At 39.5% G+C, this 26,879-nt stretch overlaps 1 protein-coding gene and 1 long non-coding RNA gene across 2 annotated transcripts in view, besides 1 other annotated feature; one reads left to right on the top strand and one right to left on the bottom strand.

The window, feature by feature from the left end:
• The window catches only part of GABRR3 (gamma-aminobutyric acid type A receptor subunit rho3), a 50,214-nt gene extending 35,787 nt beyond the window's left edge, over nucleotides 1-14,427 (top strand). The window contains exons 9-10 of the mRNA NM_001105580.3: nucleotides 6,481-6,677; nucleotides 12,547-14,427. Coding sequence (NP_001099050.1) covers nucleotides 6,481-6,677; nucleotides 12,547-12,846 — 497 coding nt within the window. The 3' untranslated portion in view covers nucleotides 12,847-14,427. The remainder of the gene's footprint in view (nucleotides 1-6,480; nucleotides 6,678-12,546) is intronic.
• Nucleotides 2,230-2,524: an enhancer, noted in NCBI's record as "tiled region #5379; K562 Activating DNase matched - State 9:DNaseU". NCBI's record gives its function as "activates a minimal TATA promoter and a strong SV40 promoter by Sharpr-MPRA in K562 cells {active_cell/tissue: K562}" and the evidence as "EXISTENCE:reporter gene assay evidence [ECO:0000049][PMID:27701403]".
• A 9,979-nt stretch (nucleotides 14,428-24,406) lies between the features above and the next one.
• Nucleotides 24,407-26,876, bottom strand: LOC124909398 (uncharacterized). Its single transcript, XR_007095976.1, has 2 exons — nucleotides 25,719-26,876; nucleotides 24,407-24,663 (listed from the first exon to the last, which is right to left on the bottom strand). It is a non-coding gene; the product is annotated as an uncharacterized LOC124909398 (long non-coding RNA).

Below are 26,879 nucleotides of genomic sequence, written 5' to 3'. Positions count from 1 at the left end.
ATCAAATGGAACAAACTTTTTAATTCCAACTACTGTCCGTATGTAAGCATGTTCCATTTGGGTACTTTCAGTTGTATACTGGACTTCACCTTCAGATACTACAAGCGTTCAGCCTGTTTAGAACCGAGTCTTTCCTTGGGAACCCAGACTTCAGGGATGAAGCATGTGCCAACAGACCTGTAGCTGGATGATAGTAAGGAAAGAGAGTGAAAGTATGAAGCATAAATATCCTCACTTTTAAATCTTATCTTTTCCCTTTCTAGGTACACTCCCATGCATTACCCAAGCTCATTTAGCTTTTCGTGACAAACCCTTACATCACGGAAAAAAAAGAACCTTCAAACTAATTCACATTATACTGTTGGTGTCTTAATAATAACTTACTTTAATGGGTTAGCAGGGAAGCCACTTATTCTCTTCACTTTTCCTCATTCTGTTCGGGGCCTCCCAGTTTGTTGAGCCTTTCATATCTGAAACCTCAATTTCCTTCTTAATCTTTGGCAGTGATTCTCAAACTATGGCCTTAGGACCCATTTACACTCTTAAAAACTAATGAGGACACTAGAGAGCTTTTGTTGCTGTGGGTCGTGTCTATCATTATTAGCCATATTAGATGTTAAAATAGAATTTGAAAATATGTATTAATTCACTTAAAACTAGGAATAATCAATTCATTACAAGTTAACATGGTAACATTGTATGAAGCATAATTATTTTTTCTAAAACAAAAACATTTAGTAGGAAGAGTGGCATTTTTAAACATTTTTGCAAATATTTAATGTCTACCTTTATAGAGGGCAGCTGGATTCTTATCTCTGTTTCTTCATTCAGTCTATTGCAATAGGTTTTGGTTGAAATACAGGGAGAAATCTGACCTCATCAGATACATAGTTTGAAAAGGGAGTAGTATTTTAATAGTCTTTCCAGATAATTGTGGATAGCCTCCCTTCACATTACACCAAAACTCAGCAAGTGATAATCCCTTAAAGTTTAATTGCAATGTGCTATCTGAAACAAATATTTTCTACTCTGTTAGATTACAATCCATTGGTCTATCTTATACTTTTGATTACAATCCATTGGTCTATCTCATACTTTGAATAGACTTTTCACTGATGCATTGGTCATTTGGAAAACATTGGTTCACTGAGTTACAGAGATCTTCCAAATGTTTATATAATTCATTATACTGGTTTGGATCATAATCTCAAAAGACACAATACCAAATGCCATAATCCTGAATGTTGAAATCCTGAAAGATCAAAATCCCTAAAGTCTAAATCCCTCAAGTCTAAAATCTCAAAAATCACAATCACAGGATAATTACATCATGTTAGGCCAGTTACTATGCACTATCTTCATGCAATTGCCTATAACCTATCACTGTAATACACTTTCATATATGAAATTTTCTTTTTGATTTTTGGTCTGTTTTTCTTAAGTTTTTTTTTTACTATTTTTAATTGTCAGAATTATATTATAATTGGCTATGCTATGTATTTCATCTTTGCATCATTTCTAGTAGTGGAGATATAAAGAAGTTAGACTGTTAGAGAGTTCTAATTTGTATTATGCATTTTTGCAAATTTAGCTCCATGAAAGTGCATTATCACATTAAATTTGTGTGTAAGTATTGTGCATGTATGTAAAAATGTTGAAACTTTCTCAATAAATGAAGACATGTCCTTTTTGTACATCTGCATTTGTGAAATATAAAATTTCATGAGATCTCAGCTCTTTGTGTGACTGCATATGTGGTGGTGACCATCATGGTTTTTGATCGATCCTCAAAAGACTTAAGTTGTTCATCACGGTGTTTCAGATGACCACAGTTATAAAGCTGGGTGCCCACAATGACCCACCATAGTGATATGCATTTATATGTTTCCCTTTTGACCTATTTCTGTATCAATATGATTCATCTGCTCATAACTGTTATGCCTGTGCAACTGTTGTTAGTATACCTGAGTGTTTATGCTTACAGAAATATGTGTTATTATTGCCTTATTTTACTGTGTAAAGTGGCTTATGAAGTGTTATGTCTTTTTTTATGTTTCTTAAATAAATTACCTTTTTAAAATATAAATAAATAGCTTTTAAATTTTTCAAAATTATTTTTAGAACAATATTTTCAGTATTTTGATCTTTCAAGACTGTGATTTTTAGAATTTTAGACTTTAGAGATTTTGATCTTTTGGGATTTCAGCCTTTGGAATTATGGAATCTGGAATTGTGTCCTTCGGCATTATGATTGGCTCCTCCTCCCCACCTGTGTTTCTCTGTCAAAATCTTGCCATCTCTACATGGCCGAAAGCCTTCAGTGATGACTCCAAGCACACATGGTCTCTCTCATCTTTGAACACGTGGCATTTTCTGTATCTCCTAAGTAGCTTACTTCCTCTATTTCATGTTTTGCTGTGGGACAGGAGTGGCTTATCTTTTGACCTCTATTAGAATGTGAGCTCCTTAAGGACTAGGACCACTATTACCATTTTGTTGTTGTTGTTGTTCCTTCAGCGAGTAGCACAGTGTCCTCCTGCACATAGTTCATATTCAGTACGTAGTTGTTAAGTTGCCAGTGTTTAGACCACCATATTTTTCGTTGCTAACTGGAAATGATAAAGGATGATTCATTTGCTGGTGAAGACCCTCCCACATTTGCCATGTTTCAGGTAAAGAGCAGTAGAGGGTGCATAGCATAAAAGTATTCACTGTGATTAGGCAATTCTCATAAGAGATAATAGCTACCATAACTTGGAATGTGTGATGGGTCAAAAATATGATTATGTCTCTCCATTCAATTTGGTGTGGAGAGTGTGAGACAATTATAAAGTTGTTCAAGGATATTTAAATATTATACTTTCTCCTCTCATTTCCACTTCCCTCCTTCTTTCTTTGCCTCCATCGTTCTTGCTTGATCCCTCTACATGAGGTATGCCATTCTCTACAGAATGAATTAAGTAATGGGCTCCTTTACTGGAAAACAGATATGGCAGAGGAAGACAACCGAAGTTTTCAGGCCTGTAGTCACTCTCAGAGAAAAAATCATCTCCTAACAGAGGATATGTCATATGCTTGGAAAAGTGAATACTTAGGCAACTGGATAAGAGCAGTTTATTTAATGGTCACAGAGATTATGAGAATTTCTAATGACAGTTATTTGTACCACCTTCATGAGAAAATGGTTGTCAGTTTCTGGTCATAGAGCAATGTTGGAATGTCAAGCCACCTTCCTTTCCTTCATATCATGTAATATTTTCGTTCTGCCTAGGCCTATATGAAAAATATTTTTACTCACTTGAAGGTGAATATAAACACCCCCTCCCTTCAAAAGAACTACCTGCAACACAGTTACTGAGGGGGTGAAGAAACTCAGTGGTTCATAAGTGGTGCCTGTCTTCCCTACTGCTATCATATCAGTCAACAAAACTCTCCACCATGCATGACTAAAAATAGCCAATGAAACTGAAAGATTATTAATTCCCCCCAGACTAAAGGGTTCTTAAGACCCCATCTTTAAAAAGTTAATATGTTGAGGCTGCAAGAGCCCAGGGGAATTGAATCAAAGGGTCAGACTAAATATTTTCTCATAACACTTTCCTAACTATGCGTAGCAACATCAGTAGTGGGGAAGATAATTTTCTAATCCAAACACATGACCTTCCTTTGACTAAATGGTTGCTTCATATAATTCAAAACTCCTTTATTGGGATATTAACTTTAATGGGTTTGGAAGGAATACTATTTGTCAAGATTAATGTATTTTTGAGGGGTGGCGCAAGATATAATAAGTGTATTTAATGTAACTATAATACTCCTGACTTCAAGTTCTATTGCTTTAGGAATTTACATCTCAGTTTTCTCATCATTCACTCCCCCTACCCAACAATCCCTCCTCTCCACTCTAATTCTTTTTTTTTTTTAATTACTCATCTTAAAGAAGGAAAATTTAGAATGCTGGTTTTAAAATAAATAAGGCTATTGTCAATTAGTTGGATTAAGCACCCTTTTAAAGAAAATGATTAATAGTTTATTGCTTTCTGGCAAATATAGATAGCGCAATTCCTTTTTATTTGCCCAGTAGTTATCAATTTCAAATACATGACGAGACCAATCAGGCATATACATTTGTGTGTTTGTTTAAAATCCTTATTTTGTCCGCTAAGCTCCATATTACTGCACAATGAAAAAAAAATAAGTTCTATGTTTTATATCTTAAAAAACCAATAAGAGAAGACATTAAAAATTTTTTAGCTGGGCGTGGTGGCTCATGCCTGTAATCCCAGCATTTTGGGAGGCCAAGGGGGGCAGATCACCTGAGGTTGGGATTTTGAGACCAGCCTAATCAACATGGAGAAACCCCCTCTCTACTAAAAATACAAAATTAGCCCAGGTGGTGGTGCATGCCTGTAATCCCAGCTACTCAGGAGGCTGAGGCAGGAGAATCACTTGAACCCAGGAGGCGGAGGTTGCAGTGAGCCGAGATCGTGCCACTGCACTCCAGCCTGGGGGACAAGAGCAAAACTCCATCTCAAAAAAAAAAAAATTCAAATTAATGAGGTTAGCACCTAAGTGGGAATATTAGTTCATGATTCCTTCACTTCCTGCCAGTGAAATCTTGAACAGAGTAAGACATTGGCATACTGAAAATGTCAGTATGGCACAGGAAAGCCACAGTGTCTTCTTTGTGCCTCTTGGCATAATTCTGCACTCTGAACAGAATTTGCACTCTGCTCTGACAAAATATGGGGGAATCCCTTAGCCACTCTGAGCTTCTATTTGTTTTCTGTTATGTGTGGCTAATTATTTACCTAGATATGTGGTAGGTAAATATTTGATAAAAGCAAGCAGGTTTTATTTAATAATCTTGGCTTCAGCTATACCTGTAATGTTAATAAAAATTCCATGCTTAATAAAATTCCATGCTTCATGTTCACTCTTTGCTTCATGTTTACGTAGCAAGTATGTTTTAGAGCCAGGGAATACAGACAGCACCCTCTGATATGCAGATCGTTGATAGTACCATTGTTGGGGGAAACCTGGGACTTGATGAGACAGTGGTCTGTGTTCAATGTTAAGAGCTGGAATAGCATTTAGGTTTCTTATTCTGGAGTTCAAATCAGTGTGAAGGTGAGATTCCAAGTCCTCCTATGGTACTGTCAAATTGCCAAGTTGTGTTGATCTTGATCATACAAACTAAAAACTTTATTTGAAATAGAATGGCTCTATAGAATTGTCATTGTGTTTGATATGGGGCTCTCTCAGATGAGAGCCTAACAGAATTATTACAGAAAGGATAGAAAGGTGTTGGTGAAAGCAGTCCACATGCTGTGGCTGTACATTTAGGAGTAAATCACAGTGCTCTTCCTGCTGTTTGAGACTCTGTCTGTTGACATTACAATGTCCTCACAACTTATAAAAATCATTAGCGATTCCATTTGCACCTCCCTGGTGGGAAATTAAGAAATAAAACCATACCAGCCAGTGTACATTTCAAATATTTACAATTGTATACTTTCTCTCCAGGTGGTACTCTGGCAATATCCCTCTGAGAAATTAGTGTAGACATTGAATGGCCCTCCTCATGGCCAGCATTTTATTAAGGAGATCTCAGAGTCACTTCGTTCTCCATTTTCCCCCTGGAACCTTGATCTTCTTACCTCTGATGATCATGCCAGAGAACAAAGAAGTAAAAGGAAGAGGGGAAAAAAGGAAAGGGAAGGGGGAAGGCAGCAGAAAGGGAGAAGAAGGGAAGAGAAGGAAAGGGAAGAGGGGGAGGGAAGGGAGGAGAAAGGAGGGGAATGGGGAAGAGAGTGGAAGGGGAAAATGTGAATGGAATTTAGTTGTTGCTAAGTAAGTGTTTACAATGAACTGAACCCCTACTAGCACACTTATACTCAGAATCAATGGAACTGTAGTTTCATTAACAATCGACAAAGAGAATAACAATGGCTTTTTAAGTATTTTCTGTGAAAGGATAATATAGAGAATAGCAATCTTGAATGCTACTAAAGATCTTTCAAGAAGAAATAAGCTCCCCGGAAGCATGAAATATTAAATGTAGACATAAAGACAGGTTATAAACAGTAAAAATTGTGAAAGAATGGGAAAGGTTAGAGGAAATGATTTTAGAATACTCTTTTAAATTGAATACATGTTTACCTTTCTGGCATGCTTAGAAGAGGCCCATCTGAGGGTGAAAAACAGAAAAGTCAGACTCTGTTTTCTGTGAAGCCTTTAAATGGAGGAAAGGAAACCTTCTGGATAATAGGGTAAGGGCAAGAAAAAGAGACAGAAAAATCCAGTGAGAGTGTTTGTTTAGGCTCAAGATATATAGCTGGTCAACATGCACACACCTTCCCTCCTCTTGGATCACCAGGTTGATATTGTTCTAGAAATGCATCCCCTGGTGTGATTCAGCACCAGATCCTGGAAATGAATGGCTATATCACTGAGCTTGCCACTATTCTCAAATGGCAGGAATCACCACAGTGCTGACCATGTCCACAATCATCACTGCTGTGAGCGCCTCCATGCCCCAGGTGTCCTACCTCAAGGCTGTGGATGTGTACCTGTGGGTCAGCTCCCTCTTTGTGTTCCTGTCAGTCATTGAGTATGCAGCTGTGAACTACCTCACCACAGTGGAAGAGCGGAAACAATTCAAGAAGACAGGAAAGGTACAGCCTTGCTCTGACTATCAGATCCCTTGGGGAATGTGGAAAAGACTACCCTTATCTATTGCCCTCTCTTGACAGTGTTGTAAGCCTTTGTATTAAGTCCATATGCTTGTCAAGAGGCAAGTTGACAGTATGGTGACAATTTAACATTGAACCTTACCCTCTGCTCTGTGCTGGCTGTTTTCTTATCCTCACTCACCTTCATCAGGAGTTTTTGTGTGTGCAAAATTTCTCTCAATATGCTCCTTTCCCCCAACTGTACCCTTTGAATAAAAGGGGTTGACATACAAACCACATTCTTTCAAATGGATGATGATGATAATAATAATAGCTAACATGTAATGGGGGGTTATTATATATTGGCATCATACCAACCATGTAACATATTATGTCAGTGAACTCTCACACCAAGGTCAGTATTTTATCGCCCTCATTTAACAGAGGTGGAATAAATGCAGCTGGGTGGTAATTTGGCCAAGGTCACACAGCTGAAGAGGAATCAGGCTTTGCTTCTGGGTCTCCTTAACTTCAAAGGCTGTGTGTGTGCTCTCAACCAATAAATGATATGTTTCTCTCCATCGAGAGCCAGCATTTATATATCTCTTCTTGTCACTCGGGAGAGTGGTAGAGCATAAAGGGAGGTTCTTCCCCCCACAGTATCCTAGGAATGAGGTGCCTTCTGGGCTCTAAATGTTATCCATGTTTTTTGTGACATTGTTTAATAAATGTAGGTAGATTGCTCTCTACCTGCTTCATTTCACAGAGGATTTGGGCACCAGTTTCCTGCTTTTACAAGAACTTATATAAGATATTGTACTTCAGAAACTTAACTGATAAGAGTCATTCGTTTCTAGTCTACACTTAACAGAATAAACACACATACGCACACATACATATGTGCATATAGTATATATGTATACATATACATCCCATGTAGAGAATATCTATACACATATACCCATAACTTCAATGAAATCTATTCATATTGGTTTAAGTTTTTTTTTACATGAGGATTTATATGCAACCAAACATTATTTAATATTTTTTCTACTTCTGAGAGCATCTCATACTTTCAGGATGTTTTTATATCCTCTTCTCACACCGAACCTTCCTGTCAGCCCCCAGTATAGATCTTACAGAGATTATTATCTCTATTTTATAAACGAAGAAGCAGAGTTCTAGTGAAATGAAGTGATTTGCCAACAGATTCTCAGCCAACAGAACTGCAGTTGCAATTCAGATCTGGAATGCTCACTTCATCCTTTGATTTTACATCCTTTGAGTCAAAGCTCTAATAAGAGCTGATTTTGTTTTCTTGCAGATGCTTTCATTTCTTTGCTAGCAGCATGTGACTATGTTTGCCTGTCACTTACATGCCCACAGTGAGTGCTATGCACGTGTAAGGAAACCAGGAGCTGTTAGAGCAGTATGCGGCAGTGGTGCGTAGGCATCACCCGGGTCCTCGTTAAACTCTAATTCAGGAGGTTTGGGGTGGGACCTGAGACTATGAATTTCTAATAAGCTCTAGGTGATGCAGATGCTGTTGATCTATTACCCATACTGAATAGCAATGATTTGGATAGTCTGTGAAGTGAAAGGTGACAGGAAAAATGTGTAAGGAGGGAAAGAATTTTCTTCATGTTTTATTTTGTTTTTATACGAGGAGTGGCTAACACAAGAAATAGGCACTGAAGTACTTTTGGCTCACCTCCATCTAGTCCTTTGACTCAAAAATGTCTACAACTCCCTGCCCCCACCTGCCACACAACGTGTGTTCACTCTGCCTGATTGTTTTATAGTTGTTGATATTATACACAATCTTTTTGTGTACCACTATGCAGAACTTCTTTTCAGGTAATAAGCATCCTCCATTTTAAAAACTATTTTTCACTTTTTAATTGTAAAATTACTATAACTTAGATTTTACAATCTGAATTGTTTTTAAGTGTGCAGTTCAGTAGTGTTAAGTATATTCACATTGTGGTGCAACCAATCTCCAGAGCTCTTTCATCTTGCAAAACTGAAACTCTGTACCCATCAAACAGCAACTTCCCATATTCCCCTCCCCCCAGGCCCTGGAAACCACCATTCTAAGCATCCTCAATTATCTCAAATAAATGCAACTATCTCAAGGGAATGTCCTATTTGCCATTCATATCTTTGTGGGACAAAATGAAGAAATGATTGAAGTCAGAAGTGATGGTAGGCCAGGCACAGTGGTTCATGCCTGTAATCCCAGCACTTTGGGAGGCCAAGGCAGGCGGATTTCTTGAGGTCAGGAATTCCAGACCAGCCTGTCCAACATATGAAACCCCGTGTCTACTAAAAATACAAAAATTAGCCGGGCGTGTGGTGGGAACCTGTAATCCCAGCTACTCAGGAGGCTCAAGCAGGAGAATTGCTTGGACCTGGGAGGCCGAGGTTGCAGTGAGCTGTGATTGCACCACTGCCACTGCTCTCCAGCCTGGACGACAGAATAAGACTCCGTCTAAAAAAAAAAAAAGAAGAAGTCTTGATGGCAAACCAAATCCACCACATCCCAGCTTCGTGTTCCAGGTTAAGTCTCCTAAACCCCTTCTGTGTTTCCACAGTGGTGTCATTTCTTCCCCATGTACTTCACAGGGCTGTTATGATGATCAAGTGATATAGTAAAAGGGCGTAAAAACTTTGCAAATATAAAGTGCTATACAAATGGAAGTTCTTATTGTGAGTAGTGCCCAGAACACCTGCCCTGAGGGAATAGGAGTATTACTAGGAAGAGTGGGAACAAATCCAATAGGATGAGATGCCTTGGAAGAAATAGGATGCAATGGGAGAGGCCGGATAGAAGAAATGTCTGTGGGTTTGGGGGCTAATAGATGACACCTGTATATATATATGGAGTTGGAAGCCAGTATTAGAGAGAGAGCCAGTTGTGGGAGCCAGATATATGGATATAACAATGTCACCTTTGTTATTGGTAAAGCAGTTTGGAGAATGTTGCTTAGGTCTGTGAGCAGGAGGGCTCACTAATATTTCATCACTAGCTTAAATGTACTCACTGTCTTGGTCACTGGCAAAACAAGAATGTTCAGGCCTATCCCTGGAAGGACAGTATCTCTTTACTTCATTTCAGAGAAAAGACCTGGACACCAATGCGGACACCAAATGGAGGACTCAAAAGGGACAGAGCTAAACGTGCCAGTTTCTTCTCCCAGACTGCTACAGTAGAGTGGCCAAAGGATGATGAGAAAGGGCTGGAATGTTAGGCCTCGCTATGGAGTTCCTCTCTATGAAAACAAATCAGGCAAAACTTGTTTTCATCACCCCCCTACCACCATTACTACTACCATCCACCACCCACCATCATCCACCACCCAGCACCATCCACCCTCTACCACCATCCACCACCACCACCACCCACCACCCACCACCACTACTCACCACTAACCACCCATCACTTACCACCCACTACCACTATCTACCCCTAACCACCATCAAACACCACCACACACCACCCACTCACCCACTGACCACCACTTACTACCAACCACCACTTACCACCTACCACCACACCATCCCCACATCCACCACCACCATCCCCACCACCCAACACCATCATCAACCACTGTTCACCACCATCCACCACCACCATCCACCAACACCACCACCATCCACTAACATTACTAACCACCACCCACCACCATCAACCACCACTACATCCTACTATCACCCACCACCATTATCCAACACCACCATCTACCACCGTCACCCACCATCCACCAATAACATCACCAACACCATCCACCACCATCACCACCACTCACCACCCACCACCACTACCATATACCCGCACCACCATGCACCATCTACCAACACCACCAACCATGACCACTGCCAACTACCACCCCCACCACCACCTACCACCACCACCATCCCCACTCACTACCTCTACCCTACTCACCACCCACCACCACTATCCACCACTACCACCATTCACCACCTACCACCCACCACTCACCATCAACTGTCACCATCCACCACCACCACTTACCGCCACCCACCATGACCACCATCCACCACTACCAAACGCCACCATCATGAGCACCATCTACCATCACCACCAGACACCAATACCTACCACCACCATTCACCAACAGTCCCACCACCACATATCACCACCACTCTCCACCATAACCACCACCACCCAACACCACCCACCATCTATCACCCACCACCACCATTCACCACCACCACCACCCACCACCCACCACCACAATTCACCACCTCCATCACCTACCACCACCATCCATCTCACATTATTACTATCCACCACCACACACCACTACCACCCAGTACCATCATGTTCATGTACATATTCCAACCACCTCTCTCCCCGAGACACTCAGAACTGGAAGAACAGCAGGTCTATAGAAAATGTATCCCTGGTGTTGACCATTGCTTGGAAAGAGGAAAAATAGCTATTTTCTTTCTTGGCTGGGTGCGGTAGCTCATGCCTGTAATCCCAGCACTTTCGGAGGCCAAGGCAGAAGGATTGCCTAAGCTCAGGAGTTCAAGACCAGCTTCAGCAACATAACAGGACCTCGTCTCTACTAAAAATAAAATAAAATACTGTCTCTGGGGATGTATCTATTATGCGTCCTTCTGTAGGGGGTGCCCGACAGTGATGGTACCTTCACAGACATATTACTCTTCGGGTCCCAAGGTTTGGCTTTCATACTTTCCATTGTCCCAGCATGGCAGGGCACTTGAAGCTACTTCAAGCCCCATCCGGGCTGGAACTGGTGTCGGGGGAGCCATGGATGAATCGTATGCCCTGGTGTTGGTGTTGCCTCACTCCTCTGAGCTCTTCTTTCTGATCAAGCCCTGCTTAAAGTTAAATAAAAGAGAATGAGTGAAAAAAAAAATTAGCCTAGTGTAGTGATGTGTGTCTATAGTCCCAGCTACTCAGGAGGCGGAGGTGGGAATGATCATTTGAGCCCAGGAGGTCAAGGCTGCAGTGAGCTATAATCACACCACTGCCCTCCAGCCTAGATGATAGAGTGAGAACCTGTCTCAATAAATAAAAAATAATGATAAATTTTAATTTAAAAGTTAAAAAAATAAAAAGGGACAACATAACTCAATTATGGGCCCTTGATTAGTTCACTGACTGCACAAAATAGTCTTCATGTCTTTTGAATTCAGTAAAATATTAGGTTTTTAAATCACTATAAATCGAAGACATGTTTTGGCAGCATTTATTCTGCAGCCTCCAATTTGAATTCTGAATAATTTCATCCGATAGTAGCCTCTCTCTATTTGTTCATTTTTGAATTTTCCTATGAATCAAGAAGTGATTTTGTTTTCTCCAAGAGCAATTACTAACAGCTGCTTTGTAGACACTGCTCTAAACTAGTGAGAACCACTATCTTCCTCAGAGTAAAACCTTCAAGAAAATTTTAGTTTTGATTCAATCAGGCACTGGAGCCAGAAAGCATTGATAATTTGCTCCTTCAGAAAAATAAACCAGTTTTATGTTGTTTAATTGGGCCATGTTAGGATCATTTATAGGTGCTCTGAAGCAAAAATGGGAAGGCCTGGCTAATTTGCATTTCAATGGAGCAGCTAAAGTCTTTCCCTATCCCATCCCCAGTTTAAGCATAAATGGATCACCGATGACATGGTTTTAGTTTTGGACCAAAAAATACATATATACGGAGGATACTGCTATATTTTCTATAAAGAAAAAAATAAGTTGAAAAACAAATCCAATTGGCCTATCTTGCTGTTCTGATAAATCATATTTAACTTTATTAACATTATTTACCATAATTCCTATTTGTAAAACCATATTCAAGACCTACTTTAAAAAAAAGTTTTTTGACAGATTTCTAGGATGTACAATATTGATGCAGTTCAAGCTATGGCCTTTGATGGTTGTTACCATGACAGCGAGATTGACATGGACCAGACTTCCCTCTCTCTAAACTCAGAAGACTTCATGAGAAGAAAATCGATATGCAGCCCCAGCACCGATTCATCTCGGATAAAGAGAAGAAAATCCCTAGGAGGACATGTTGGTAGAATCATTCTGGAAAACAACCATGTCATTGACACCTATTCTAGGATTTTATTCCCCATTGTGTATATTTTATTTAATTTGTTTTACTGGGGTGTATATGTATGAAGGGGAATTTCAAATGTATACAACTTTAAAGCCAGATGATGTTTAAAAACAAAACTCTTGAATATGAGTTGGATAGTCCTAGATGGAACTGGGAAAGAGCAAGTCACCTCTCCTGCCCTAATGAAAATTTGAAAGCTGTCTGATTTACATCTAAGAAAGAGTTTAGGTCCTAGAAAAGTTTGACTCCATAAATAAGAGTCATAGGCATGTGTATTATGGGAAAAACAGTTTTCCATTGGGAAGGGCTTTATAACTACTTCATCTGAACCCTCCTTCTTTCTTAATGAAATGTTCTTTATTTAACTAGGGAAGAAAGCTGGACTATAACAATAATTCAAAGATATTTTGTTTCTTAGTGCCAGCCAAGTGCCTGGTTATCTACCAGAGCTCAACCGTCCTAGGCAAGAACATCCACATAGAGGTGGTATCATCCACACTCACACAGCTGAGAATCCTATGAAGGATCTCCAATCTCCTTCTCCAGTCAAGTATTTATTCTTATTTAAATATTGTTTCAGGCCAGGTGCCGTGGCTCATGCTTGTTATCCCAGCACTTTGGGAGGCCGAGGTGTGCAGATCATTTGAGGTCAGGAGTTCAAGACCAGCCTGGCCAACATGGTGAAACCCCGTCTCTACTAAACGTACAAAAATTAGCGGGCATGGTGGCACACGCCTGTAGTCTGTGCTACTTGGGAGGCTGAGGCAGGAGAATCACTTTAACATGGGAGGCAGAGGTTGCAGTGAGCTGAGATTGAGCCACTGCACTCTAGCCTGGGCGACAGAGCGAGACATCATCTCAAAAAATAAATAAAATAAAAAAAAATATATATATATATAAAATATTGTTTCATGTATTTGTGAGCATAAGTGGAGAGGGGAAGCTAAACTTCCACTTATTCTTCTCATTCTAATGTTAAATTAATACATCAGTCATCAATAATAACATCTCGCATTTTGTAGATCATGTATTGTTTTCACAGCTTTTTAGAGGTTTTTAATTAATCACTTTGTTCAACAAATGTTTATTGACCACCTACGTGTGCCAGGCACTTCACTAAGTGTTATGTACTGAAAAAATGAATATGAAATAGCGTTCCTGCCTTCTCTAAGTGCATAGCCAACAGGAGCAGTGAACTGGAGCTATAAAACATGTGACGAATGTTAAAACAGAGGTATGTACACTGTCTGGTGTGAATTCTGAAAGGGGGATACCAAAGAAAGGAAAAGAACATCTCCAAAGGGATGTGGACTCTCAATTTATAAACAACTGGAGATGCTTCCAGATATTGTATTGAGTGAAAAAACTGAATGAAATGTATTTATCCCATAGTAATCCTTAATATCTTTGGTCGAACCAAGTAAACCAGGTCAAGTGGGTATTAAATAAATTTTTGTTAAGTAGGAAAACCTCCTATGATCAGTGTTCATTTTGCAGATTGGCAGTGTGCATGCTTTTGTTTTGAGTATTTTCTGAACAAGATTCAATTTAAAGAAAAGCCCTTGGCAGGAAATATGAAATATTCCGATACCTATTTTGATTGCTGGGATTGAATTAAGAGAAATAAATTAAATGGTGTATTACTTTCAGTGTAATTCCTTTTATTTCACCATAAAGTAAATCAAAATGATTTGAATTACTTTTTCACCAGGTGAAGAGACAAAAATTTTCTGCTTTTTAAACCAATAACATTGGTTTTGATCCTCCGTTCTGAATCACAGAGGGTTCTAGAAAAGTATCTTCCTCCTGGGTACAAAATATCAAAAGGAAAATTATTTTTCTATTATGAATTCCCTCACAGGTAGGCTAACTCTGGGATACTTCATTCTATTTTCTTAATACAACTTTTCCAATTCTTTTGAAACTTCCCAAGGATTATATTTGTATATGATACTCTCCAAAATTGAGCTAATATAATGTATTAAAACCCTTCTCCATTTCATTGTAGATAGACCATAAATAAACTTCAAAAAAACTATTTATTTAATGGGTTTTAAGCTTGATTTAATAGTAGTATTTTGGTAGGATTATATTTTCAAAATATAGCACAGATTAATATTCTAGATGGCCAGGAATTTATAGCTATTATTTAGCCTAGCACTGCAATTGTATTACATTTCTGATTTTGACAAAACCAGATGTTTAAAAAGGGACAAATATACAAATGAACAGAATAAATCTACACTGTTCTCTTCAACCAATACTCAGCTTCTTCAGGCTTTTCTGTTTTTTTCATATACTTTGAAGTATAACATTCAATATGTCGAATGCTTCCCCTGGGCATATTCATTTCCCTGTTTTGAATCAAATGCATCACTGAATACATTTGGCAATCTAGTCTAGGAGAATGGGTCTCTATCACACCCCCACACTTGGCATTCCTCTGGAGGAGCATAAATGCACATTTGTTAGCCAATCAAATGTAACTTTTGTTAATGGCTAGCAATACAGGCATTGTATTCTTCAATAATGTACATCTAACACTGAAAAAGAAAATATGTTTACTGCTTAAGGGAATTATTAGAGTATTTGGAATGAGCTCCTAGGAGTTTTGCCAGTTTTCTTCTCTTGAGATTGGTGGCTTGTGAAGTCTGTGAAGAGAGGACTGTTTCCATTAGCTTCATTTCTCCTCGGGAGCAACAAGATTTCTGTTTGGTTCTTACTCCAAGAAGAATCAAATCACAGTTTACCTGAAAATTATGAGAGTGAAGACAGCATATAAGAGTTACCTCATTTTGATTTTCACTTCATTTATTCATCACAATCCTGAACAGATTGTGCATGATTGTTCACTGAGGGATAAGCCTGGATAAAATGCAAGGATTTCAGAAAATAAGCTGCTTTCTATGATTAAGAAGAAGCCAGCTCGCTCTGTAAACGGCCTAAATATAGAAATGGGCTATTTTATAGGAACTACTTTGGAAAACCCATGAAATAATATACTTTAACTTAGTTTTATTGTTTCTGTTCTGGTTAGAAAATAAAGCTTCATTATTTAAAAAATTTTAAATATCCACTGGCAAAAAAAATCATCTACCCAGAATTAAACAGTTCACATTTTAATGTACATTCTTAGAGGTTTTCTGTTCATAATTTACATTTTTTCAAATGGAACACTTTTGTAAACACTTGTGTTTATTAATCTAAGCACTTATATCAAGGACTGTCTGCTGGGGATACAGTAACAAAAGATGGACATGGCTCCTACCCTTATTGAACTTACATTGTGTTGGGGAAAGTGTCTATTTGTAGCCAGATTTTCTTCTCTGTTCCTGAAAACTGATTTCCATATGCTGCAGAGCTGTTCACTGAATGGGTGCACCATAGTTTACTTCACCCATCTCGTCCTGCAGGACATTATTGTCATTTCCTATTGTATGCTGTTACAAATGGGTTGCAACTAACAATGTAAAGAACACTTAGAAGTAAAATTATTTTTGATACAAATGAAATGTCTAGCCATATTCAAATTTCTGCACTTATTTCCTTCAGAAGAATCCCTGTTTGCAACTAGAACCTGCCGTGTCAGACTCACTCATGGGTCTGCCTAGAAGCTCTGAGGTGTAGATTACTGTAACTGAAGAACCTTTTAAATTTTTAGTTCATTTTTCCCCATGAAGCAGAGCCTTCTTATATATATCTGCTGGCATTCCCTTTTCATAATGGAAGTTTCTGCATTGTCTAAAATACTTACATTAAAGCAGTCCTATGTATTGAAAACCTGCTTCTTTCCATGACTGCTATCACCGCTACAAGCCTTTGCCATCTTTCTAAGTAAGAGAGTAACTGAGATTGCAAATATTTGCATATGAGTTGCTACAAAATCATAACTAGCCTGTGACTACATTGTCTAAATCCTTGCAGGTGAGTTAATCTTCATGAGTAAGGTCTATTGTTCCTTACTGTGCCACTTATAAGCCTGTTCAAATCACACACACACACACACACACACACACACACACACACACACCTCCCTGTACATACAATTTTTTTAACATGGAGATGAATGAGAGAAAGAATTACGTCTATTTATATCTATTTCTGTAACCATTATTATGATCAACATTTCAATGAGAATAAACAACACCCTCAAAGAAGCAAGAGAAAGAAGTGACATGAAAACTGCTATTTCAACATCAATTCTGTACTGGTGCTGCTGTTATTTCTTGGCAAGGCCTTAGGCATAGCAGTCAATGTTATATTCCAACTACCTCATTTATGGAATGGAGCCACCTAGTCTTTCTCTGTAAACACTGCTTTAAAACACTCTATCACACTATAGTGTCTTGCTTTTCCAACTGCAAATTTTTTCTTTCCTGGATTTAACAAATAACTTAAACATAATTTTTTTCTCTTTTAAAGAAACCATGAAAAACAAATGCACTGGACATTTAAGAAGATGATTTTTTTTCAGTTTATTGCAATAGAAAGGGCATTTATTAATGATAAACATCTCAAAGAAAAGGAAGGAGGTCAAGGGCTTCAAAGAGTCAGGTATGCAAGCGAGTCACATTCACTGGGGAAGGATAGAGGTGGGTCTGATCTTGGAATATGTGAGAGTGGAGTGGTCATTTCTCAGAATACAAAATGTGGCGGGGATTTCCAGACCTTTGATACTTTCCAGGAACACACAGGATCAGATGAAGTTCAGCATTGTCAAAACAACATTGTCAGTTGTTCCTTCCTTTCAATCCCCTGCTGAATCATAACGCTATTTTTGGTCAATGATGGGGCCAAGTGTAGAAAAGAGATTTCACAAAGTCACTGAGAAAAAATTATAACAGTTTTCTTTTTAATATATTGATATTTAGTTTGTTGTAGGAAAGACCGAGCTACATTTTATTATTGGTTAGATTATTTGAAGGATTTGCTGTTACTCTCAGTTCTAGGATCAGTACAGTTGATTATAGAAACTTATTTTCTGCAAGAGTGTTTCAAAGGTTTTCTACAAAATTGTGGTGCTAGCTGACCACTCCTTACCTTAGACAATCAAAAATAGGTGAAATTATAATGTCATTAGCAAGTCTTTTGAAACACATTTTGTATTGTGAAATAAGACTTTCTGAAGTTTGAGGTACAAGCCAGTGTCCTTTAAAAGTGACATATATGTTCCAATATTTCCAAAACTAGCTAACTCAACAAGGGATCCTAAGTAAGGAAGAAAGTACTTACACTTACATAACTTTTTTTACTTCATCAGAGAACATTAAGGCAGGTTTTTCAAGTATTTTGCACTTCAAAGAAGTGTTATAAACACAAACCCACACATCAAATAAATTTTTGGAGCAATCACACTGCCCAAAAAAAATATATATATATATTTCAAATTAGGTTGTATCTTGGGTAAGGTCATATCTAAATTAAATCATGAATCAATGGGAAGGTAGCCTTGGGACCAGCTAAATTACTTGTAAATAAATATGCAGTTCAGGTAGACAGAAGAGAATGAGAATGTTTTGTGAAAAGGAACTTTAATAACTGAATATGATTTCTCAAGATAATGTGAATTAGAAGTAGGTAAGAAAAATAAGGCAAAAGAAAGACAAGGACAGAAGTTTAAAATGTGGTTGCTCTGCAAAATGATGTCCTTAAAGTCCCATAGCGTATATCTTCAGGGCAGATTTGAATTTGAAAATAGAATAAACTGTATTTGATTATTTGGAATACTATCCTGGTCTATATTAATCAGATGATTATTGCTTATTTGTATGAAAGATAATGTGCCTCTCTGCAATAAAAGCAATTAATTGCATGTTGGTCACCAAATTGCATGTTGGTTATCAATACAACATACCATCTTGACAAAACTAATCAGCCCATTTCAAATTACTCAAGTTATTTGAATTACTTGATTCTATCATGATATTATCATTTATGCCTTCTATGTAATGGCTTGTACTGGTGGAGTTCCTGGTGAGTTCTAATTTGTTAATGTAGGCTATACATTTAGTATATTGCTGAACCATGTTTTATCGAAATAACCTGAACTTGTAGTAGGTACAGACAGAAAATGGCTTTATTTTTCACCAATTGCTGTCAAACATGCTCTACTGGCTATTCTTTCTCTGCCTCTTGCTGACATCTCAGGCTGATCTCACAGCTTTTGGGATATCATGAGTTATTTATAAAGCCTTGTCTGATTTTAATGTGTTTTCCCTACCCCCACCCCCCAACTAATTCAGGCCTCAACCCTGGACTGAGGAAACTGTTGTAGGAATAAGGAATAAGGTAGAATCTGCTCTTTAATACATACCTCTCCCCCATCCTTCATTCCACCGAGTTTGGAGTAGGGAATGGATGGAGAGGATTAGGGAAAGGACTGGCAGAAGTCTCTTTACTTGATGATATGTACTTTAGCTCTCTTGGTTTGTTGCCATTCTCTGGGTGGCAGGCATGGCTGAGTAAGCAGTTCACCAGGAGCCTCACCCTTGGGGTTTAATGCTTTGGAGACACCATCTTGAAATTCATAATAATCTAATCTTTGAATTAGTTTTTTGAATGAAGTCTGAAGGAAGAAGGGAGGAAACTGCATGTACCTGTGTGTGGCACATGCAGTTCTGCCACTGTCCCGCCCTGTGGGATGTTTCTGGATCTCTCTTTCCCAATCCCCTCTCCTGCCAGGCCCAGTGGCCTGCTGCTTGCTGCCCCAGGTAGAGGCCTAGACACAGATGCAGAGAAGGCTGGGATGAGGTGCACTTTCCATAGCATTTGGAGCTGGTCATGGTGGCAGCCAACTCCGCCCTGGGCTGTCAGCACTACAGTGTGTTTGGAGAGCAACCAGGCTGGAGCAAGCCCCTTGCTCACTCCCTATCCAAGTAATTAGCATGTCCTGGCTGGGAGGGTGCCATCTGTTGGTGTTCACCCATCTGCTGAGGGTTGGGGAGATTGATGTCCCCATCCCTGGCCAGGCACAGCAGTGTTGAGCCAGTGGCTAGCAGGAGGGAGATCGCAGCAGCCTGTGGCCATGTGCTCCTGCACACACGTGGGCACTAAACTAAAAATAAAATGCTAAGCCCCTTCCTGACTGAAAGAACTCCCTGTGGAAAAAGGGACCCCAGAAAGTCCTTAAAATTGAGTTCATGTCCATGATGGAACAGGGGGTCAGAAAAGCCTCATTCTATGCCCCTCCCTTTTATGGTTTCGACACAACTGACCTGAAAGTATGGCAAAATAGAGATTTTAAGACTGACAGAGCAGACTCTGTGGCAATAAGATATCAAATTATAAACAGGTCCTAAGGCCATTCCACGCAAGGGTTAAGTCACTCACCCCTGCACTTAAAGAAAAATAAACTGTGTTCTAACTGCCACAAGGTTTTTATTTTTCTCTAGCAGCTAAACAAGTACTGGCCTTGAGATAAGCAATATTAAAACAATTGTAGCTTAGCACTGGACACTAAATAACTGACCTCCTATTCTACCAGCCATAACTTCAGCTTTGATTGGACAAGAGACTGATTTCAGTAACTTTATCCTGATAAGAAAACCACCAACAATAGACTAGCTCTGGCTGGTTTACAGAGGTTGTGTACTTGCCTGGCTTTGCATCCCAAAAACATCTCTTGACATATAGAGCCTAATTGCAATATATTTGAATGTAAAGTTTCCACCTCAAAGTGAACATGGGTCATATGTTATTAAATACATGCATATTTGTTCAATATGCAAGTGTCAGGACCACCTTCATGAATATTCATAGCTCTTCCCATAACTGCTGGGCATGTAGGTTTAGCCAACTGGTTAAGCATTAAAGTCCTACCCCCACCCCCACTCCTTCCAAAGTGCCTCTTCCTGGTCTTGGCCAGAAAGGAAGCCTGAGGGATGGGCACCTTGCAGGGTATAATCCTTTATGGGAAATAAAGTCTCCTTTCCTTTACAATTTTATATATATTTTTTCTTAATTTAGCAGCACCCAATGGCCCTGCAGGGCCCTGGGTGCCTGTGAATGTCGGCACTCACCTTCCTGCACCAGGGTAGAGCACGGCACTTAGCAGCAAATAAAAGATACCACCCTGATAGTAAAGAAAGAGAGACAAAAGAAGGGAATGGTTTTATATGTTAATACCTTTAATGGCACTCTTTTGAAAAGGGGCTCTATATTTTCATTTTGCAACAGGTCCCACAAATTATGTAGCTGGCCCTGGTGACAGCTATTCAAATGTTGAAGCTTTCAAGGGATGCAGGGTGTGAGATAAAGTAACAAATGTCTGCTTCTGGCCAGCCACATAGCCCTTGCTGTGAAAAAGCAATGTTGCTCATTCTGCCTGTCAGCCTACCTTCAGAAGCCCCTGACTCAGTGACAAGCACAGCCCTCCGGAAGAATGCCTTGAGGATGAGAAGCAGAACCGAGCACAGATTCCCACATCTCTTGCCTAAATCACTGCATTTTTAGAAAAGATAAGTCCAATGATCCTAGCTTTTGCCTTTTCCTGTCCATAAGATAACATCTGACAGGATTAATAATTATACCTCTGTGATTTGTAACCAGATGTACTCTTGCACCCAAACTTTGATGAGATTTTGCTCTAATGTAACTTCTGAGTACATTCGATGTAACTTCTGAACATGCACAGAACCTCCACCACCTAATGTATAAGTTATGGGTGGAAACACTGCTTTGGAACAGTCTAACAGAACTCTGAAAGGCTCTCCCTGGTTGCAATTGTCAGTGAGACTCTGAATGAAATTAATTTAATTCTTTGAAAGTCTAGCTTTTTCTTTAGTTGACAAGGAGAAGGTTGATCTGGAGGTGAGACTGGGTTTATTGAAATTAACCTTGAGATCTCTGACAGACTGCCTAAGACCCTGTGTCTCTTTTCCTGTCTGGGCCAATGGACCCCACTGCTTCCTGGTCCACTATGCCACTCTCTTTGTCACCTTCCAGGTTGTCCAAGCCTAACTACTTTCCACAGCAACCACTCAGCCCAGAAGATGCTCAGTGGTCCTTGATGTGACAATCTGTGTGAGAGTAGGCTGCTTCCACACTGCCTTTTTGCCTCAGAGTGCTATGATGAGGTCACCGGCCAACTCCTTCTTCAGGATATTCCAGGTGAGAAGCAGCCTCCACATTCCCAGGGCCGTATATCTGGGGTACAAGAACTTTCCAACCCCAGTGGGATCTTTGGGACCTTTGGCCAATAACTTAGTTTCCTGGTTCCTCAGTTTCCTCACATGTAAAACTTGGAGAGTTATAGTATCTTCCTTTTAGATTTTTGTGTGTATTAATAAGTTTATGTACTCAGTTTTTTAAAAGGGCCTGGAAAATGGAAAGTGGTAAGTATTGAACAAATAAAAAATAATAATATTGTTTCCAGTTTGGGGGATTCAACTGAAATTTCAAGTCAAAATCCCACAGAGGTTATTTCACCAAAGGTTGGGCCTCTAGGTTTATAAATAACATTTGTCTGTAATTTTCTTTTTCAGTTATTTTCCTTTTCTATATTCAGAACCAGTTTATATGAGGTATATTTTTCTCTTCTTTGAAAGTTTTAAAAAACTTCATTAACAGACCCATCAGTACCTGACTAGTACCACCTTAGTTGGTCATTTTTAGGTCATTATGATATTTTAAAGGAAAATAAGTAAACTAATGTTGCATCATAATATTGGGGCTTCCTGACCCATATATACATTCTGTTAGTCTTGTAGGAAACATTTTCAATAGGAGCTTGTGTACCTTTTAACAAAGCAACCCAAAGAGTATGAGCAGAAAGCACCTCTGCAGGAGTACATATTTTTATAAGAATTGGGCAAGTCAATTTCAAGATTTATGATAACATGTTAAGTAAGAAAACATCTCTGTAAGGGAAAGTCATTGGAAAATCCTGAGGCATATTTTCACCTGCAAGTGCTGGGTTGCTGGAGAAAGGAGGTCTGCAGAATCATTTAAGAAAAGTCATGCAGCCTAACACCAACTTTCCTATAGGCACAGGCTGTAAAAGAAATTGGACTCTAAGCAAGAAAAGAAAATAGGAATGCTTACCCAATTCAATTTTGTAAACAGAGTAACTACTCTGTGAAGAACTCTGTTGCAGTTCTCAGAATTAAAGAAGCACATTTCTTGCTCCCAAGGAGTTTAAATCATAGTTTTATAAATATGCAAAATATAATTCCAAACGGTGATGGTATGCTTGTTATCAAGTTAAGTACGTTGAGTTCTATGAGCTGTATCGTAACTACTATAGTCTTGAAAGACCTCGGCCTGGGTCATTGTTAAACAAATTTGACTTTTCTGAAGGTACTAAGACACCAAGATTATCCCATGGTGATATGACATCAATTTGAAGGTACTCTGCTTGATGAATTGTGTAAATTAAGTGAAGTATGCATGTATAAAAGGCCCAACTGCATTTAATTCATTCCATGGAATCATGTTCAAGATGTCATATGGGATTTAACAGTAATGCCTCTCACACTCAATAGCATTTTACAGTTTTAAAACTCTTTTGCTTACTCCACCTCACCTGAAACTCACAGCATCTTTCCGAGTTAGGTGAAATTAACCACTTTTGGAGAAACATAAACAGAGGTCCAAAGAATATTACTTGATAGGCAGTATGGGTGCTATGGTCTGAATGTTTGTCCCCACCCTGGATTCATATACTGAAACAGAATCACCAATGTGATTGGAAGGTGGGGCCTTTGGGAGTAGATTATGTCACGCGGGTAAAGCCTTATAAATGGGATTATAAAGAGGACCCACAGAATTGCCTTCCCACTTCTACCACGTGAGGATGCAGCTAGAAGGTGTCCTCTGTGAACCAGAGAACAAGCCTCCAAAACTGTGAGAAGTCCATTTTTGTTGCTTATAAGCCACCCAGTCTTAGATATTTTCTTATAGCAGCCCAAATGAAAAAAATGGACTATCAAATGATGTATTTTTGAGCAAGTTCCTTAACCTTGATGTGTCTGTTTCCTTATATTAAAAAGTTAGCCCAATATAGTGGTATAAATATTAAAGTCATATACTAGAAAGACATGGTTTAGATATTTTCTGGACCAAAGTGAATACAAACACATAGGGGGCAGTACTCACATAGTTTAAAGCAATGTGTGTTTCCTGGAATCGTATGACACAGTAGCATTATAAAATAAAGCTTTACAACAAAAATACAAATATTAATCATTTTATAAGTTCTTCAATGTTTATAGACTGAAAGGTAATTCCAATCAGACTGATTCTTCTTCTAATGCCCTTTGAAAATTGGAGCACAGACCCTTAAGCCTATGGAATTTGAGTGCCAATAGGGATATCACAGTACATCTGGTGCAATCTTACTTTATAAATGAGGAAAGTGAATGTTAGCAAAGAGAGTTTTCCAAATTCATATACCTGGCCCCTCCAGAGTTAGATCTAATAACCATAAAAAGTACATTTACACACCACCATTTTTAGATTTTTTTGCACCCAGCATCATTGTGACTGGAGGTAGGAGTAGGACAGGGTTGCACTTTTGCAGCCTGATGCCCAGGCTGGACAGGTGCACAGCCACAATGAGGTGGCTAAAAACCAAAAGCTCTACAGGAAGAAGAGCCTAGGAGACCACAGAAGAGGAAGACAAACTTGGCTCTAAAAAGAGTCTTTTAATAAAGCAATCCAAACGGTGTGAACGTCAAGCACCTCTGCAGAAATGTAACTTATTTTACAAGGCTCATGGACAAGTCTGTTTCAGGGTTTATGGCCGAGACATGAAGGGAATTCTCTTCTTTCTCCTGTCTCCTTGGCATCTTGTTCCTCAGTTACAGAGGAGGAGCGCTAGTCTGTTGATTAGAAATCTGGAGGCTTCTAGACTTTTCCGGACAGATCTTGAGAGCTGCCATCTACAACATTGTTTTCATGAGAAAATTAATTACAGAAACAAAATAACTGACTTTTAAATGAACCTATGGTGGGGACTGGATAGCAGTCTGCATCTTGTCCTCTGGAAGAACTTTTCCAAAAAAAAAAAAAATACCAGAAACAATACATGTAGGAAGGCCATATATTCTAGAAGCCTCCCAGGCAAGGTTGCAGACCATTCTCCACTCCCATCCCATGCCACCCTTACTTCCTCACCTCCTCTTCCTCCTCTCAGGCAAGGTTGCAAGCCATTCTCCACTCCCATACCATCCCACCACACCCTTACTTCCTCCCCTACCTCCTTCCCTCCCTCCCCCTTCCTCCCTCCCTCCCCGCCCCTTCCTTCTTTCCTTCCTTTAGACGGAATTTCGCTCTTGTCACCCAAGCACAAACTAACTTTCCTTCTCTTTTTCTTTTTCTTTTCCGAAACAGAGTTTTGCTCTTGTTGCCCAAGCTGGAGTGCAGTGGTGCAATCTCAGCTCACTGCAACCCCGCCTCCCTGGTTCAACCAATTCTCCTGCCTCAGCCTCCTGAGTAGCTGGGATTACAGGCAGGCACCACCATGCTTGAGTAATTTTTTTGTATTTTTGTTAGAGACGGGGGTTTCACCATGTTGGCCAGGGTGGTCTTGAACTCCTGACCTCGGGTGATCCACCGGCGTCAGCCTCCCAAAGTCCTGGGATTATAGGCGTGAGCTACCGCACCTGGCCCCTTCTCCTTTTCTTCACAGGAATGATGGGCACTGTTTAGGTCTGAAAATGGAACTATCATGACTTTTTTGCTTGCTATGCTAAGAAATCGGAATTATAATGAAAAAAATCAGAGAGAACATACTGATATACTAATTTTGCATTAGAGGAACTCCTACACAAGATGTATGATTTCCCCCTGCAAAGCTGACTTCCATATGTACTTTTGTTCTGTTAGACATCCTGCGGCCATTTTATATGCTGAGAAAATGGTATTTTGTGTTGACATTATAACTTTTTTCTACAACCGTACTGCTTTTCCAAGTGGTGGACGTGTGAGAATTTACCTTTATCTGAATCCCGGGAACAGCAATATTATTCTATATTATCTTGAGTAGATGTCTTGCAGTCAAAATAAAGAGCGAAGTACATTACCAATATCATATCAACTAGAGATTTTTGCTGTTGACTATTCTTTTTTACCCTGTAAGGGCTAAATTTGATGTTACCCTCGAGTTTTTCCAACTGGAACCTGCCAGGAAACTTACTAGTTATACGAGTATTAGTAAAACGTGAAAAAGACCAACAGTTGACTGACTGGTTTGGCTCTAATCTTGTTTCTGCATCTTCCTAGCTGTGTGATCTTGTGCAAGTTAGTTAACCTCTCCTGACTCAGTTTCCTCAACTGTAAAATGGAGGTAATTGCAAGGTTGTAGTGAGGATGAAGTGAGGAGTATTTGAAACACCTAGCGTGGTGCCTTATAGCCAGGAAGAACTCAATTCAAGACTTGCTATTATTGTTAGTTTTAGACAAATACTAGACAAGGGTGTACTTTGTTCCCATTTGTTCATGTGCCACTTGATCCTTAGAAGCAGCCACTGGTCTCAGTCACCTTGACGGAACGAAATGTCGACTTCCTCTGGGTCCTCTGGCTGTCTACAGAGCAAAGAAAGGCACAGGCCCGCCACTGATTTCCCTGCTCCCTCATTTGTGCCTCCTGACTGGAACCAAATGTTCCAAAGCAGGGAGTGTTAGGCTGAAAGGACTCAGATAACTGCATTTCTTCTGTTTCTATAGCCATAGTCGCAACGAATTTCCAGTATCTTTTAAAACTAGGATTGACTCTCTCTCCCGGAGCGAGATGATATAAATGACACTCGGCTTGTACAAATCAGCATTGTGTAGCCACACAGCCCATAAGAAAGCCATGGGAGAACCCGGACCACCAACTCCCTAAACTTGCACCGCTGGTATTCCTCTTCAGGCCTGCTTCTCTATTCATAAAAGGAACGGAGTTGCACCAAAACGCTCTCTCAAATCCTCTCCTGCCGCCCCAAGTTAAAAGAAAAAAAAGGAGAGCCGGGTGGGTGGCTCACACCTATAATCCAGCACTTTGGGAGGCCGAGGCAGGAGGATCGCTTGAGCCCGGGAGGTAAAGGTTGCAGTGAGCCAAGATCGCTACCACTGCACTCCAGCCTGGGCGAGAGTGAGACCTTGTCTCACATAC

This window comes from Homo sapiens, chromosome 3 (genome assembly GCF_000001405.40).
Source record: "Homo sapiens chromosome 3, GRCh38.p14 Primary Assembly".
Taxonomy (NCBI): Eukaryota; Metazoa; Chordata; class Mammalia; order Primates; family Hominidae; genus Homo; species Homo sapiens.
This window is presented reverse-complemented; position numbering and strand designations above follow the sequence as displayed.